Consider the following 16,967-nt stretch of genomic DNA (forward strand, 5'->3'; position numbering starts at 1 on the left):
AGGAGGAAAATCACAGAGAACTTAACAAATTAATATCTCAAAAAATAATCTTGCCAGACAAGTAACAGAAACCAAGTGGGCTAAAGAAAAACAGTGTCTCACGGAGGCCAAGGGCAGGCTCCAGCCAGGTTCTCCAAGGACTGGAACTGGATCTGGGAATGTAGTGGGAACCAGGGGGCTGCTTCTCTCTCCACTCAGTCTTGCTCCTCCCATTCCACACCTGCACCCACTCTGTCCCTCCCACCTCCCAGCCCACATGACAGAAGACGACCACCTCACCTCTCAAGCTTTATGCTGCCTCCTTTGAGGCCCAGTTCCTAATTTCTGGGAAAGAGATTCTGAGTGGATCAGCTAAGGCCAGGGGCCAGGGTCCCACAGGGCAACAACTATGGCTGTGAGGGAGAGTCCTTGTTTTTTTTTAGACAGAGTCTTGCTTTGTCGCCCAGGCTGGAGTGCAGTGGCACAAGCTCAGCTCACTGCAACCTCCGCCTCTGGGTTCAAGAGATTCTCCACCCTCAGCCTCCAGAGTAGCTGGGACTACAGTCATGTGCCACTGCGTCCGGCTAAGTTTTGTGTTTGTAGTAAACACCAGGTTTCACCATGTTGGCCAGGCTGGTCTCAAACTCCTGACCTCAGGTGATCTGCCTGCCTCAGCTTCCCAGAGTGCTGGGATTACAGACGTGAGCTCCCACACCCGGCGGAGAGTCCTTGTTTAAGGAAGTGTTTGCGAATTGGGCTAATATCCCAACAATGTCTCCTCCCCCAACATTAGAACTCGAATCTCCTCCCGTGGCATCATCCCAGGAGCCTCAGGAGGCTCCTGCCCTGGCTCTTGTCCTCCTACAGAACTGTCCAGGGTGTCGGTGAGCCTACACTGCTGGCCGCAGAAAATCGAGGTGGTCCTGAGCAGCTGCATCCTGCAGACTCGCCGCTGGATGCTGATGAAAGATGCCTTCTCAGGATGCTCCAGCATCAGCAAGATAGAACAGGGTCTCCGTGTCCAGGTCTTCCTGTTAGAGAAGAAGGAGGGTACCTGTGGACTTCGCCTCTCTGTAAGCAAACTGGGAGAGGTCACCTGATGGTGGGAGGGACCGGGAAAGGAGTGATTGGCCACCAGTCATGACTTTATTTCCATTTGACTAAGAAATTCTCTGGAATGGAGTCAAATCCCAGCCATCAGGACCAGTCTTTTTGAGAGAAAAGACTGTGTTGTCCCCCTTCAGACTGGGAACACCTTTGTGGGTGATACCATGTTTGATGGATTGAGCTATTGGCTTCCAAACTGTTGTCAGCCATGGAACCCTCTAAAATAATAACAATCACAGCCACAATCAATATTTATTAATTTCTTACCATGTGCCATGTGTCATGGTCAAATACTTTTTTACAGGCATTATCTCACTAAATTTTCACAGTAATCCTGTGAGGTTCCCATTTGAAAGATAGTAGTGGTATGGAATGAGACCACCACTTCTCCTGTTGTCCTTCCCAGCTTCTCCCCCACCTCCCCTTTTCCCTAGTTTATAAGACAGGAGAAAAAAGAGAAAGCAAAAAGTAAGAAAGAAGCAGAAGTAAGATAAATAGCTAGACGACCTTGGTGCCACCACCTGGCCCTGGTAGTTATAATAATAATAATAACCCCTCACCAAAACTACTGGTGTTATCTGTAAATTCCAGACATTGCATAAGAAAGCACTGTAAAACTTTTTGTTCTGTTAGCTGATGTATGTAGCCCCCAGTCAGGTTCTCACACTTACTTGATCTATCATGACCGTTTTACGTAGACCCATTAAAGTTGTAAGCCCTTAAAAATAATTTCTCTTTCGGAGAGCTTGGCTCTTAAGACGTGAATCTGCCGATGCTCCCGGCCGAATAAAAACCTCTTCCTTCTTTAATCCGGTGTCTAAGAAGTTTTGTCTGCAGCTTGTCCTGCTACAGTGGAAGGCCCAGTCATGTTGAGGGATTTTCCCAAATCACACGGCTAGCTATTACAGAGTGGTTTGTGCTCCTCACTGCTCACTGATGCTGCCACCTCCTTTCTTTGGGAGGGGTCTTACATAAAAGCCAAATATAAAAATAAATACGTAGAAGTAGAGCAGTTCTGACTGAATGGGGGAGAGTGCCCTGCCAGGTCAGTTCCCCTCAACACATAGACTGGCTTTCACATCCCTTCAAGGGGGTGCCGGGGCTCCCCAGGCTCAGTTTAACAATCAGAGTTTGTCCTAAAGACATGGTTTAGGCCGGGCGCACTGGCTCACACCTGTAATCCCAGCACTTTGGGAGGCCAAGGCGGACAGATAATGAAGTCAGGAGTTCAAGACCAGCCTGGCCAATATGGTGAAACACTGTCTCCACTAAAAATACAAAAATTAGCCGGGGGTGGTGGCAGGCACCTGTAGTCCCAGCTACTCAGGAGGCTGAGGCAGGAGAATTGCTTGAACCCGGGAGGCGGAAGTTGCAGTGAGCCGAGACCATGCCATTGCACTCCAGCCTGGGTGACAGAGGGAGACTCCATCTCAAAAAAAAAAAAAAAAAAAGATGGTTTAGATGGTTTAGTTCCTCCCAGTTGTCTGCCTTTGTCTCTGGTTCTGCCACCCAGGGATTCATGGGGTCTCTTGTTTAGCTTATGGAATAGAATCGGCAGTTTCAACATGGAATGGCTAAGTCCATGGCTAGGCTCCCAGAACTCTCTCAGTGTTTTGTTTTGTTTTTTTGTTTGTTTTTGTTTTTTTTTAAACAGAGTCTCGCACTGTTGCCTGGACAGGAGTGCAATGGCATGATCTCGGCTCACTGCAACCTTCGCTTCCCAGGTTCAAGTGATTCTCCCGCCTCAGCCTCCCAGGTAGCTGGGATTACAGGTGCCTGCCACCACGCCCAGCTAATATTTGATTTTTAGTAGAGACAGGGTTTCAGTATGTTGGCCAGGCTGGTCTCGAACACCTGACCTCATGATCCACCCGCCTCGGCCTCTCAAAGTGCTGAGATTACAGGCATGAGCCACTGCACCCACCCTCTCAGTGTTCTTTTTCATACACTGCTTTATTTATAGTAACAAAACAAATATTTTTTTTTGAGACAGAGTCTTGCTCTGTTGCCCAGGCTGGAGCACAGTGGCATGATCTCTGCTTACTGCAACGTCTGCCTCCTGGGTTCAAGTGATTCTCATGCCTCAGCCTCTGAAATAACTGGAATTACAGGCACGTGCCACCGTGCCTGGCTCAATTTTTGTATTTTTAGTAGAGACGAGGCTTCACCATGTTGGCCAGGCTGGTCTCGAACTCCTGACCTAAAGTGACCCACCCACCTCAGCCTGCCAAAGTGTTGGGATTACAGGCATGAGCCACCATACCCGGTCCTTTTTTTTGGGGTTGGGGGGAGGGGGGAGACAGGTTTTTATTTTTTTTAAGATGGAGTTTCGCTCTTGTTGCCCAGGTGGAGTGCAATGGCGTGATCTTGGCTCACTGCAACCTCCGCCTCCTGGGTTCAAGGGGTTCTCCTGCCTCAGCTTCTCGAGTAGCTGGGATTACAGGCATGTGCTACCATGCCCAGCTAATTTTGTATTTTTAGTAGAGACATGGTATCTCCATGTTGGTCAGGCTGGTCTCAAACTCCTGACCTCAGGGGATCCACCCGCCTCGACCTCCCAAAGTGCTGGGATTACAGGCGTGAGCCACCGTGCCTGGCCCCTGGGGACAGTTTTTTCAGAGGCCAGATGTCAACTTCCATCTCTGCATGCCTCAGTTTACCCATCATTGCATCTCAGCACAGAGCCCCATCATGTAGGGTTACTTTGGGTTATTCTGCCCCTGTGAGAAGAAACTATTGGCAGCAAAGCCATACTGCCCTCTGCCACCTCTCCCCAGCGCAGGCCAGCCACGCCTCTGCCATGCAGTCAACCGTTGGCTTTGTGGGTGGCCTGGAGCCAGGCCAGCACCCCTGCCAAGCCAGTGCCTTCACGGGCGCTGATTTCTGCCGTGATGATATTCTGCTTGGCACAAGCAATGATGTCTGGAAGCCTGATTAATAACTTCATCTCCTCCGTGGACATGTAACAGGGTAGGTCGCTGGAGTCAAAGAAGTGCCGCATCAGAGTAGTGGCTGCCACACACCTGCCCCGGATCCCCAGCCACACCACCTCCCTACCAAGCCATGCTCCTAGCTGTACTCCCAGGGATCCCCCGCCCCTGCTGTGCTCCCTCTCAGCTCAGAGACACATACATTTTATTGAAAAGTAGTATCAGCACCAATGCTTCTGCAAATTGTTCTGAAGAAAGGAGACCTAAGAGCTGCACACAGGATGCAGAGAGCTGGGTGGGGTCAGAGGCGTCCATCATGAACTGGGGAAAAAGAAAAAGATGGCAGCAACGCCCTGCTGCCAAACTTCCTCCCCTGGGCCTCACTGACCTGGCACTGGGAGAGCAAAACTGCATTTTTTTTTTTGAGGCGGAGTCTCACTCCAAGTGCAGCGGCACAATCTCGGCTCACTGCAACCTCCGCCTCCCGGGTTCAAGTGATCCTCCTGCCTCAGCCTCCCGAGTAAGTGGGACTACAGATGCCCACCACCACGCCCGGCTAATTTTTTGTGCTTTTAGTAGAGACGGGGTTTCACCATGTTAGCCAGGATGGTCTCCATCTCCTGACCTCGTGATTCGCCCACCTCGGCCTCCCAAAGTGTTGGGATTACAGGAGTAAGCCACCACACCCAGCCCAAAACAGCTTTAAACAAAGCTTTGGGAACAGGCAGAAGCAGAGGGAATCGAGTTTTATGAGGACGACCCGGTGTCACTCGTCTCTGTCCTCATGTGGCCATCAGTTCTCCATACTGGAATCTGGGGCACAGGTCTTGTCAAGATGGGACCAACCAGAGGCACGTGTAAATCCAACATAAACACAGACGTACCAGGGAGCAACACAGAGAGCTAAGTCTGTTCTCTGCGGAGCAGCAGCCCTGCCCTCAGCAAGCCCTGTGTGAGCTCCTACCGTGGGCCTGGGAGCGCAAGCACCAGAAACCAGATGGGGTGCCCAGCAGGAAGCAACACTAGCGTAGGACCTGTTTCCATGACTAGTATAGTCACTAAATAACCAAAATGCCGTTCTACACACAGCAAGGTTGGGGACTGGACATTACAGAAATGTAGACACACTTCCCTAAAGGAAGCCCATATAGGATTACAACCTACCAGGAGAGAATGACAGTTTCCATAGTAACTGGACCAGATGGGGCCCATGCACCACCCCCGCCAGCTCCCGGATGGTGATCTTTCTGTGTGCCACGATGTCAGTAAGATTTCCACCTATAGGAAAAACCACGATGCAAGGAGAACAATACAAGCTCTGTCCCGTTGTGAACTCCTGAAGAGCACCGTGCCCACACCTTACACGGTGGCCTGAACCCCGCAGAGCCATTCTCCAAGGGCTCAGTCCCTAAGGCAGGAATGGCGAGCAGGGACCGACGCCCATCAGTAGTTAGACTTGCTGTGGGGGCGACCAGCCACAGGAACCCGTTGCGAGGGGAGAGGAAATGCCTGTGGAGGGCGGCAGGCCCCCACATCCCACGCCAGGTATCCTCAGCTCAGGCTGTCCCTGGCTCCTGAAGGCTGGCCTTAAGTCAAGACCTGACCCTCTGCGCCTCGACGTGAACTTAGAGGAGCCCGAGCTCTTCGCCAAGCGCAGAGCTGGCCCTACTCAACTCCACCTGCGGGGCGGACGCCTACTGTGGGCCATTTTGATTCTTAAAACAAACAAATAAACAAACAAAAAACCTAGATAAGCTGGGAATGATGGTGCACACCTGTAATCCCAGCTACCCTGTAAGCTGAGGCAGGAGGATAGCTTGAGGCCAGGAGTTCAAATCTAGCCTAGGCTGCATAGGGAGACCCTGTCTCTAAGAACAAACAAACGAACAAACAAAAACCTATATAAACAAAATCTGAAAAGATATTCAAATCTTGGGATAGAGACCAGGACTTGGCATTTTAATAAGCACTCCAGTGATTCTTTTATTTTTCCCAAGGGATTCTAAAATGCACATTGAAACTTGAGAACCACTGGCCCAGAGGTTAAGAACATGAACCTTGGAATCAGAGGCCTGGTGTGGTGGCTCATGCCGGTAATCCCAGCACTTTGGGAGGCCAAAGTAGGCTGATCTCTTGAGGTCAGGAGTTTGAGACCAGCCTTGCCAGCATGACAAAACCCCATCTCTACTAAAAATACTAACATTACCAGGGCATGGTGGCGTGCCCCTGTAATCCCAGCTACTCAGGAGGCTGAGGCACAAGAATCACTTGAACTCTGGAGGTGAAGGTTGTAGTGAGCCAAGATCACATCACTGCACTCCAGCTTGGGCGACAGAGCGAGAACTTGTCTCAAAAAAACAAAACAAAAACAAAACAAAACAAAACAAACCACAAACATACAAGCCCTGGAAACAGAGAATTCTGGCTCCAGAACTTGCTTTGGATAAGACTTTTTTTTTTTTTTTGATAATGGAGTTTCGCTCTTGTTGCCCAGGCTGAAGTGCAATGGCGTGATCTCTGCTCACCGCAACCTCCACCTCCCAGGTTCAAGCGATCCTCCTGCCTCAACCTCCCAAGTAGCTGGGATAACAGGCATGCACCACCAAGCCCAGGTAATTTTGTATTTTCAGTAGAGACGGGGTTTCTCCATGTTGGTCAGTCTGGTGTCTAACTCCTGACCTCAGGTGATCCACCCTCCTCGGCATCCCAAAGTGCTGGGATTACAGGCGTGAGCCACAGTGCCCAGCCCGGATAAGACTTTTAACCTTTCTAAGCCTGTTTGATCTTCTGTAAAATGGGATAACTCCCCTCAGAGAATTGTGGTTAAGCCACAGTGCCTGGAATACAGCCCATGCTCAGTAAACTTCAGCTACCACTTTTTTTTTTCTTTTTTCTTTTTTTTGAGACAGAGTCTTGCTCAGTCACCCAGGCTGGAGTGCAGTGGCACGATCTCTGCTCACTCCAACCCCTGCCTCCCAGGTTGAAGTGATCCTCCTGCCTCAGCCTCCCGAATAGCTGGGATTATAGGTGCCTGCCACCATGACCAGCTAATTTTTTGTATTTTTAGTAGAGACGGGGTTTCATCATATTGGCCAGACTGGTCTGGAACTCCTGATCTCAAGCAATCCACATGCCTCGGCCTCCCAAAGTGCTGGGATTACAGCCACCACGCCCAGCAATCACTTTTATTTAAATAAACAACTTGCAGCCGGGAATCACTTGAACCGGGGAGGCGGAGGTTGCAGTGAGCCGAGATCGTGCCACTGCACTCCAGCCTGGGCAACACAGCAAGACTGTCTTAAAAAAATAAATAAAATAAAATAAGTAAACAATTTGCAGCAAATGAGGGTGGGAGAAGGCATCTTCTCTGGAGATCTGAGAGTAATGGCAGTCTTCTTGTCCTCTCTAGACCAACAGCAGCCACGCCCTGTACTCTCTGGAGGTGCAGCTTCTGCAGGTTCTCCCTGGCTTCATCAGCAATGACTCCACAATGCTCAGCTTCAGCTGCACGTATACCCTGGTGGTGAATGTCAGCCAGACCCACCCCTACCAGGTATTCTCCTTCCCGTAAGTTCTGCCTCATCAGCTTCCACTCTGGTTGGGCCGTGGGAGCCTACTGAGTTCTCTACCTCTCTACCTCTAATCCAAGCACAAGAGTTAGCACCCTCAGGATGTTGCTCCCCTATGCTCAAACAGAGGCACCTCTTAGATGGAAATTCAAAGCATTAGTGGAAGAAAAGAGATGCTTCAGGCTGGGCTTGATGGTGTGTGCTTATAGTCTCAGCTACTTGGGAGGCTGAGGTGGAGGGATTGTTTGAGCCTGGGGGGTGGAGGCTGCAGTGAGCCATAATCATGCCACTGCCCTCCAGGACAGGCAACAGAGTGAGACCCTGTCTCAATTAAAAAAAAAAAAAAGATGCTTCTATGAAGGAATACATACAAGTTGTTTATGTAAATTACTGTGGATAGCTTCAAGGGTCCTAGGTCTGGGGATCTATGAGGTGGCACCTCACTTTTTAGGCAGACCAGGAAGAAGGTAAGCAGGTTTGTTCCGTCCGCCCTTTATTCTCTATGGTTACCAGTGCTCAGTGACCTTGCGGATGCAGAAGGTGTGGGTGAATGTCTCTCCCTCTGGGATTTCATGATGAGGGTTTCACTCCTGTCCCTCTCCAGATATAGCACCATCCATGTTCTGGGCACTGGGGACACCATCATCATCTTGGGCATCTTCACAGACCTTCAGCTCTTAACTCTGCTTGAAAACAGAACTGTTCCTCTTGGCATGCCCTTCTACGTAGTCCTCAAGACAATAAGCAGTGATTTGCCCTGGTGGTCAGTGAGGTCTTTGCCAGCACCAACATCTCCAGGACAGGTGCTGTTAAGGCCACCTACCACTTTGTGAACAAGAGGCAAGGGTCAGTCAGGCCTGGTAACCTCCTGTGAGTGCCAGACCAGCCCCTGGATTTGGCTTGTGCTGTGTGCTTTTATACCCTCGAGCACAGATTCTGTCACTCTTCTTGGTATCCCTGGCATGCAAACACTGGAAGAAAGTAAGTGCTGGGTGAATGTTTCTTGAATAATGCTCTCATTCCCATTTTGAAGATAAGTAAATTAAGGCTCAGAGATTAAAGCCTGCCCAAGATCTTGCAGCCAACAAATAACATGCATTTCTTTTATTCTTTGCTCAATTACTGAGGGCCTACAATGATAAAACTAAAAAACAAAGACACAACATTTCAGAGTGCTATATATATGCTATATATTGGACATTCATTATATTTAGTAGCTAATAATATCTAATACTGACATAGCATTGACTCTATGCCAGACACAGTTTGAATCACTTCACATATATTAACTCATTTAAGCCTCACAACACACTCTATGAGATAGTTATATTTTCTTTTCTTCTTTTTTTTGAGATGGAGTCTCGCTCTGTCACCCAGGCTGGAGTGAAGTGGCACGATCTCGGCTCACTGCCACCTCTGCCTCCCAGGTTCAAGCAATTCTCCTGTCTCAGCCTCCGGAGTAGCTGGGACTACAGGCACCGGCCATCACACCTGGCTAATTTTTGTATTTTTAGTAGATATGGGGTTTCACCATATTGGCCAGGCTGGTCTCAAACTTTTGACCTCAGGTGATCCACCCGCCTCAGCCTCCCAAAGTGCTGGGATTACAGGCGTGAGCCACCGCGCCCGGCCGAGATAGTTATATTTTCATTCCCACTTTATAGAGAAACTGAGGCTCAGTTCACACAATAAGTTGCAGATCTTGCTAAGTGTTGGGAACACAGAGACAGTAAATTCAAGTTCGTCCTCAACGTTCTTGGGAAGGAGTTGGGTCTCCTGACTTCTAGGTCATATTTTAGTAACAAGGCTTCACAGAGCACAGGGAATCATTTATTACCTTATTTATTCCTCCAAACAACCCTATGAAGTATTATTTCCCCCACTGTACAGCTGACAGAACAAGAGAAGACTCTGAGTTTAGGGGACTTCAACCAGGACACACCATCAGTCTCCAGAGTCCAGGCTCTGAAACACACCACGGCCAAACCTGTCCTCGCCTGTCATTCCTCCCTTGTCAGGAGGATATAGAACCCAGTGATTAAGGGTGTGGGCGGGCGCTGGGGCCAGGCTGCTCCCTGCAGAACCTTGGGCAACGCTCTTTGAACCTCAGTTTGAGCCTCAGTTTCCTCATCTTTAAAAAAGGGGTGGTGGGGGGCAAAAGTATTGTCTTCTTCACGGGTTCGGTGAGGATGAAATGAAACAATCCATGTAAAGTTCTCAGCATGAAACCAGCATCTGCACCTATACAAGCAAACGTAAAAAGTGGGCAACGGTGCTCGGTGTTCATCCATCGGCACCGCGGGCCCCTGACGCTGCCTCTCCCCACAGCTGCCCCGTCAGCAACCGGCTGCTCCAGGGCCTGCGGGCCAACGGGGCCTCTCTGGAGGTGACCTTGGCCTTCAACCTGATCCGCTTCTCGACCAGCGATACACTGTACCTGCACGGCCGAGTGACCCTGTGTGACACGCGGGCAAGACGCCCATGCCAACCAGTGAGTGGGCAGCCCCGGGACCTCCTGCGCAGCCGCCGCAGCCTTGCCTGCAAAGCAGTTCCTGCCGGGCAGGCTGGGTAGCCGGACTCCCAGCTGCGCCGTCTTCACGGAAGCGGTGCTGATGCGGGACCTGGGGGACTGCGGTGCTGGGGACTGGCCAGTCCTACCGGGGGCGGGGCTTGTGGAAGACTGGGCGGGATTTTGAAGACCTAGGTCTTGTGGATGGTGAACTCACTTGGGGCGGGGAGGGAGGTGGGGCTACCCTGGGGTCTTGGGCAAAGTCCTCGCCTGGCCGGCTTCGCTACCCTTGTGCTTGCGTTGCCCACAAGCTTGTAGTCAGAAGAACTCGCCTGGGAGGGATCGCTCCTGGGAGATCCGAACGCGGGAGGGCCTGGAGCGCGGCGGCAGCTGGATAGCATTCGGGCCCATCCGAATAAGCGGTAAATGGATCATTTCTGGGGCCTCCCTGACTCCTCTTCCAGAGCCTCCTACCGACCTGCTCTGTCCCCTCCTTCCTTCATGCCCTCCACTCTTCCCTAAATGCAAGTCTCCTCCCCAAGCCCATGTCCTCCTCGGCTTCCCCTCTGCTCTCCTCACCGGTCTCACTCAGTCAACTTCAAGTCTGAGCCTTCTCTGCCTGTCTCCTTCCATTCTCACCTTTCCTGTCACACCAGATCACTCTTCTCCCAGGCTGTCCCTCGTGCCAAACTTTTTTGGTAAATCTTCCTTAATGATCTAGAAACAGTCTCTCCCTTCTTTCTATTCCATAATGGTCCTTCAAAACCCCAACCCTCGCCGGGCGCGGTGGCTCACGCCTGTAATCCCAGCACTTTGGAAGGCCGAGGTGGGCGGATCATAAGGTCAGGAGATCGAGACCATCCTGGCTAACAAGGTGAAACACTATCTCTACTAAAAATACAGGAAAAAAAAAAAATTAGCCGGGCGTGGGGGCGGGCCCCTGTAGTCCCAGGTACTCGGGAGGCTGAGGCAGGAGAATGGCGTGAACCCGGGAGGCGGAGCTTGCAATGAGCCAAGATCTTGCCACTGCACTCCAGCCTGGGCGACAGAGCAAGACTCCGTCTCAAAAAGCAAAAACAAACAAAACAAAACAAAACAAAAACTCCAACCCTCTTGGGAAAGCCCATCTTCTACTAAGTCCATTCTTATTAGAGGCAGGAGGTCCATCATCACACCCTTCTGAATCTCAGTTTCAAAGAGACCAAGCCCTTTGCCCAGTCTTGATAAAATAATGGGAGAATGCTAGCCTTGTCCTGCCAGAATGGCACCTTAAGCTTGATCTCTCTTTCTATGTGGTTTCATAGTCCAATGCCTCCAGCAGCAGAAGCTCGGCAGGTTGGTACAAAGATATTGCTGTGATGAAGTTCTGATGGTTGCACCAGGGTCTGAGGATACACGCTGCTGGGTCTTGGCAGGTGCTGGTTTTGGATTTTGTTTCTGCTCCACTCTATACGAGCTGAGAGAAGTCAGTTAACCTTTTTTTTTTTCTTTCTTTTTTTTTTTTTTTTTTTTGAGACAGAGTCTCACTCTGATGCCCAGGCTGGAGTGCAGTGGCGTGATCTCAGCTCACTGCAACCTCTGCCCCCCGGGTTCAAGCCATTCTCCTGCCTCAGCCTCCCGAGTATCTGGGATTACAGGCACGCACCACCATGCCCAGCTAATTTTTGTACTTTAGTAGAGGGAGGGTTTCACCATGTTGGCCTGGCTGGTCTCGAACTCCTGACCCCAGACGATCTGCCTGCCTCAGCCTCCCAAAATGCTGGGATTATAGGTGTGAGCCATCATGCCCGGCAGTTAACTTATTTGAGTCTCAGCTTCTTGGGTCTCAACAGTACATGGCACTTGTCATTGTGGGGCTGGTGGTTTATCCTTCATCAGAACCTGAGTCTATCCAGAAATGATTGAAAATTCAAGATACAGGGGCAAGCAGGTAGGAGGTGAAAATTCAAGATACAGGCCAGGCAGTGGCTCACACTTGTAATCCCAGCATTTTGCGAGACCAAAGTGGGAGGAGTGGTTGGGGCCAGGAGTTTGACACCAGCCTGGACAACACAGCAAGATGCTGTCTCTATAAAAAATTTAAAAATTAGCTGGGCATCATGGCACATGCTTGTAATCCTAGCTACTTGAGAGGCTGAGGCAGAAGGATCGCTTGAGACCAGGAGTTTGAGGGTGCAGTGAACTATGATGGCGCCACCACACTCCAGCCTGGGAGACAGAGTGAGACCCTGTCTCTAAAAGAAAAAAGAAAATTCAAGATACAGAGCCAGACAGGTAACAAGGACAGGTGAAGGTGGCTGAGTAGGGTCCACACTGAACTAGACAGTGCCTTTCATCCCCATCCTCCCCACCCCCAATTTAACTTACACACAGTCAGTCCCAAGAAAGCTTGTTGAATGAATGAATGGATTTCTAAATAATTCCCTAAAGGGGAATATCTAAGCCTAAAAACTTTCCCCTGCTCTCAATGCCACTTAATTCTGTTTTATAATCATTTCTTTCTTTCCTGCAGGAGCCTGGATGGCCATCTTTCTTCTGATAGCAATAAGCTGGATGCTGGGATAGAAGCCTGATACCTCCTCCAACCCTAGTCCTTGGCCTCTAGTTTACTCGCCTGAGGCAAGGGTAGAGTGGAGGAAGATTTAGGGAAAGCAAGTAGTCCGTTTTATTGTTACGGACCAGAGAGGTTGGGGGTGCAGATGAAACCAACATCTGGTAAGGAGTGTGGCTGATCAGCCTTGGGCTCTGCTTCCTCATCCCACCTTTGCTTCCTATCTCTGGAACTCTTCTAGGGGGAGATTGAGTTACTTAGTATGGTATGGGGAGGTGCAGAGGGTATGGCTAATAAACAGCCGGGAATTCTACTTTGTCTGACTCCTTTCTGTGTAATCCAGATCTTATATTGAGGGGGTTGGGGATGGCAGGGAGAAGTCACTTTATCCTCTATCTCTCCATATGTAAAATGAGAGTTTGAACTGATGATCTCTGCTTCAACATGGAGACTCTATGACTCTCATTCCAGGGAAAGTTCCTGGGCCTTGGCCAGCTGGCCCTAAGTCTCCTTTCTTTTTTTCTGCAAAATGGGCACGAACTATTCAATTTCAGAATGAGGATAAATGTATACACACACTATTATCCAAGCCTCCTTCTCCTGCCCCTTAATTATTTCTGACCTCATTAGCTCCCCCTTCCTAGTAGAGGGTGGATATGGCAGCAGTGTTTGTGTGAATATCATTCCTTTATTCAAAAACAGGTTGGAATCTGCTATGCACTTGTTAACTGTATTAGGCCTGGGGGATTCAACAGTACAAAAGACAGAGTCTTTGACCTTACAGAGAAAACAGTTGAGTTTGGGGAGTAGGTAGTGAGGACCAGGAAGCAAGACAGGGTTTATAAGTTGGCAGAGGTGGGACCTACCCATAAGGTAGAATTTCACAAAAACACAGGAAGGCCCTGTGCCTTCTTTTGATGTTTCATTTTTGAAATACAATTTTTTGTTAATATCCATGATTATTTTAGAAATTAATTTCCTGGGGGAAAACATGAGTACAAGCAACACAATAAAAGTTAAATTTGGGCTGGGCACAGTGGCTCATGCCTGTAATCCCAGTACTTTGGGAGGCCAAGGTGGGTGAATCACGAGGTCAGGAGTTCAAGACCAGCCTGGCCAGCATGGTGAAACCCCGTCTCTACTAAAAATACAAAAATTAGCCAGCCAGGCATGGTGGCACGGGCCTGTAATCCCAGCTACGCGGGAGGCTGAGGCAAGAGGATTGCTTGAACCGGGAGGCAGAGGTTGCAGTGAGCCGAGATCATGCTACTGCACTCCAGCTTGGGTGACAGGGCGAGACTCTGTCTCAAAAAAAAAAAAGTTAAATTTGGCCAGGCACAGTGGCTCACACCTGTAATCCCAACACTTTGGGAGGCCAAGGTGTGCCAGATAGCTTGAGCCCCAGAGTTTGAGAGCAGTCTGGGCAACATAGTGAGACCTTCTTGAGACCTTCTTCTCTACAAAAAATTTAAAAATTAGCCAGGAACCTGTAGTTCCAGCTACTCGGGAGGCTGAGGTGGGAGAATCACCTGAGCCCAGGAGGTCAAGGCTGCAGTGAGCTGTGTTCCTGCCACTGTACTCCAGCCTGGGTGACAGTAAGACCTTGTAAAAAAAAAAAAAAAAAGCTAAATTTAATTTAAATTTAACAGTCTTAATATTTCATTTGCAGGTTGGCCGGGCACGGTGGCTCACACCTGTAATCCCAGCACTTTGGGAGGCCGAGGCGGGCGGATCATGAAGTCAGGAGATCGAGACCATCCTAGCTAACACGGTGAAACCCCGTCTCTACTAAAAACACAAAAAATTTGCCGGGCGTGGTGGCGGGAGCCTGTAGTCTCAGTTACTCAGGAGGCTGAGACAGGAGAATGGCATGAACCCGGGAGGCAGAGGTTGCAGTGAGCCGAGATCGCGCCACTGCACTCCAGCCTGGGTGACAGAGCGAGACTCCATCTCAAAAAAAATAAATAAATAAAAATAAAAAAAATAAAAAATAAAAAATTCATTTGCAGGAACATTTTGTTGTCTTTAATGCCTTAACAGCTCCTGAAAAAAATCATGTCAAATGATCAATCCATGTTATTTTTTCATGCACATCAAAGTCACACATTTATTAAATCAGCAATAAATTACATTTCATTGTGAATTCATATTGACTTTATACGTCTGTAGTAGACTTTAAACAGTCCTGCTATCAAAGGCATTAGCCCTTGCCGTTATTTAAAATGTATCCTGGCCAGGCACTGTGGCTCACGCTTGTAATCCCCACATTTTGGGATGTTGGGGTGGGCGGATCACCTGAGGTTAGGCATGCAAGCCCAGCCTGGCCATAATAGTGAAATCCTGTCTCTACTAAAAATACAAAAATTAGCTGGGTGTGGTGGCAGGTGCCTGTAATCCCAGCTACTCGGGAGGATGAGGCAGGAGAATTGCTTGAACCCAAGAGGTGGAAGTTTGCAGTAAGCCGAGATTGTGCCATTGCACTCCCGCCTGGGTGGCAGAGCAAGACTCTGTCTCAAAAATAAATAGATAAAATATATCCTGAGGGAAGAAGGGAAGTAGAAAAAATATATACATATATATCTTGAAGGATAAGGACAAAATATTGACTCCGCTTAAATATCTCAAAAAGAAAATAAATGAAATAAAATTAAGTAAACAAGGAAGCTATTGCATTTAAACTAAATTAGTTGACCATGTTAAAGAAGCCTCAGTGCTGTGTAACAATAGATGCTTATAAAATAATCCACCAGACCACACAGTGCATATGAAAGTGATAACTCTAATTATATGATTGTAACTAAGTTGCAATTTTTTTTTTATACTGAGGTGGGTCACATCTGGACTAACCCTGTCCCTTTTCAGTCATTAAGTCAGTGTACTTGATATATTTTATTAAAATATTCAGTGATATGATTTCGCTGTGTCCCTACCCAAATCTCATCTTGTTCCCATAATCTCCATGTGTCATAGGAGGGAACTGAAGGGAGGTAATTTAATCATGGGGGCGGTTGCCCTCATGCTGGTCTCATGAAAGTGACTTCTCACAAGATCTGATGGTTTTATAAAGGGCTTTTCCCCTTTTTGCTGGGCACTTCTCCTTGCTGTCACCATGTGAAGAAGGATGTGTTTGCTTCCCCTTCTGCCATGATTGTAAGTTTCCTGAGGCCTCCCCAGCCCTGTGGAACTGTGAGTCAATTAAACCTCTTCCCTTTATAAATTACCTAGTCTCAGGTATGTCTTACCCAGTGAACATTAGTCTGTTCTCACCGTGAGAACAGACTAATACATCCAGCTAGTCTTTTAAAAATAATAATGTAACTGACAATTTAAGAATATCTTATATTGGCCAGGCGCTCACACCGGTAATCCCAACACTTTGGGAGGCCAAGGTGGGTGGATCACAAGGTCAGGAATTTGAGACCAGACTGGCCAACATGGTGAAACCCCGTCTCTATTAAAAATACAAAAATTAGTCAGGCATGGTGGCGTGCGCCTGTAGTCCCAGCTAATCAGGAGGCTGAGGCAGAAGAATCGCTTGAACCCGGGAGGCAGAGGTTGCAGTGAGCCGAGATCGCTCCACTGCACTCCAGCCTGGGCGACAAAGCAAGACTCCATCTCAGAAAAAAACAAAGAATATATCTAAAGAGGTTGGTCATGAATATTCTCTGAAACTAGGACCAAAAGTCTCTGTTAAAATATAAATGAGCTGAGAGTGGTGGCACATGCTGGTAGTCCCAGCTACTCTGGAGGTTGAACGGGAGGATAGCTTGAGCCCAGGAGTTTGAGCCCAGCCTGGGCAACATAAAGAGACTCCTTCTCAAATGCATGTGTGTCTGTGTGTGTGTGTGTGTGTGTGTGTGTGTGTTCCTCCTTTGAAACAATTTTCCAGTCTGATTCTTCAAGCTCATATTAACGCAAATGGACTTAATGGTTCCTTTTCCTGGGGACTAAGTTTGGGGAGGAAGGCAGGACTGATTCCTTACCCTTCAAACTAAACCCTGGTCACAGGCTGACCAGTGCCTCCAACCCAGACCAAGCCCTGACCCTAGCCTCAGACTGTGCAATAACCCTGACTAGCATATATGTATATATATACATATGACAAGTCATTCACATTTGAAAATTGGCAGTAGGGCCGGCCACGGTGGCTCACGCCTGTAATCCCAGGATTTTGGGAGGCCAAGGCGGGCAGATCACCTGAGGTCAGGAGTTCGAGACCAGCCTGGCCAACATGGTGCAACCCCGTCTCTACTAAAAATACAAAAATTAGCCGGGTGTAGTGGTGGGTGCCTATAGTCCCAGCTACTCAGGAGGCTGAGACA

General features: G+C 48.8%; 1 long non-coding RNA gene and 2 pseudogenes across 2 annotated transcripts, besides 4 other annotated features; 1 reads left to right on the forward strand and 2 right to left on the reverse strand.

Annotated features, from left to right (window-relative positions):
* Positions 1-3,698: 3,698 nt before the first annotated feature.
* On the reverse strand, positions 3,699-4,347 carry LOC100420494 (ARF like GTPase 16 pseudogene; annotated as a pseudogene).
* Positions 9,412-10,110, reverse strand: LOC124903882 (uncharacterized). The gene is made up of 2 exons (XR_007065556.1): positions 10,023-10,110; positions 9,412-9,826 (listed from the first exon to the last, which is right to left on the reverse strand). It is a non-coding gene; the product is annotated as an uncharacterized LOC124903882 (long non-coding RNA).
* Positions 9,459-9,964: an enhancer, noted in NCBI's record as "H3K27ac-H3K4me1 hESC enhancer chr1:26551137-26551642 (GRCh37/hg19 assembly coordinates)". NCBI's record gives its function as "activates a minimal SCP1, AML or CMV promoter by ChIP-STARR-seq in primed H9 embryonic stem cells {active_cell/tissue: H9 hESC(primed)}" and the evidence as "EXISTENCE:reporter gene assay evidence [ECO:0000049][PMID:30033119]".
* Positions 9,965-10,469: an enhancer, noted in NCBI's record as "H3K27ac-H3K4me1 hESC enhancer chr1:26551643-26552147 (GRCh37/hg19 assembly coordinates)". NCBI's record gives its function as "activates a minimal SCP1, AML or CMV promoter by ChIP-STARR-seq in primed H9 embryonic stem cells {active_cell/tissue: H9 hESC(primed)}" and the evidence as "EXISTENCE:reporter gene assay evidence [ECO:0000049][PMID:30033119]".
* Positions 9,976-10,035: an enhancer, noted in NCBI's record as "active region_482". NCBI's record gives its function as "activates an Ori minimal core promoter by ATAC-STARR-seq in GM12878 lymphoblastoid cells {active_cell/tissue: GM12878}" and the evidence as "EXISTENCE:reporter gene assay evidence [ECO:0000049][PMID:35858748]".
* On the forward strand, positions 10,133-14,653 carry ZPLD2P (zona pellucida like domain containing 2, pseudogene; annotated as a pseudogene). The gene is made up of 4 exons (NR_110698.1): positions 10,133-10,516; positions 12,217-12,368; positions 12,607-12,809; positions 14,315-14,653. The product of NR_110698.1 is annotated as a zona pellucida like domain containing 2, pseudogene (transcript).
* Positions 14,430-14,598: a silencer, noted in NCBI's record as "fragment chr1:26556108-26556276 (GRCh37/hg19 assembly coordinates)". NCBI's record gives its function as "represses an EF-1alpha promoter that drives an FKBP-Casp9 reporter gene in an ReSE screen in HepG2 liver carcinoma cells {active_cell/tissue: HepG2}" and the evidence as "EXISTENCE:reporter gene assay evidence [ECO:0000049][PMID:32094911]".

Source organism: Homo sapiens, chromosome 1, assembly GCF_000001405.40.
Source record: "Homo sapiens chromosome 1, GRCh38.p14 Primary Assembly".
Classification (NCBI taxonomy): Eukaryota; Metazoa; Chordata; class Mammalia; order Primates; family Hominidae; genus Homo; species Homo sapiens.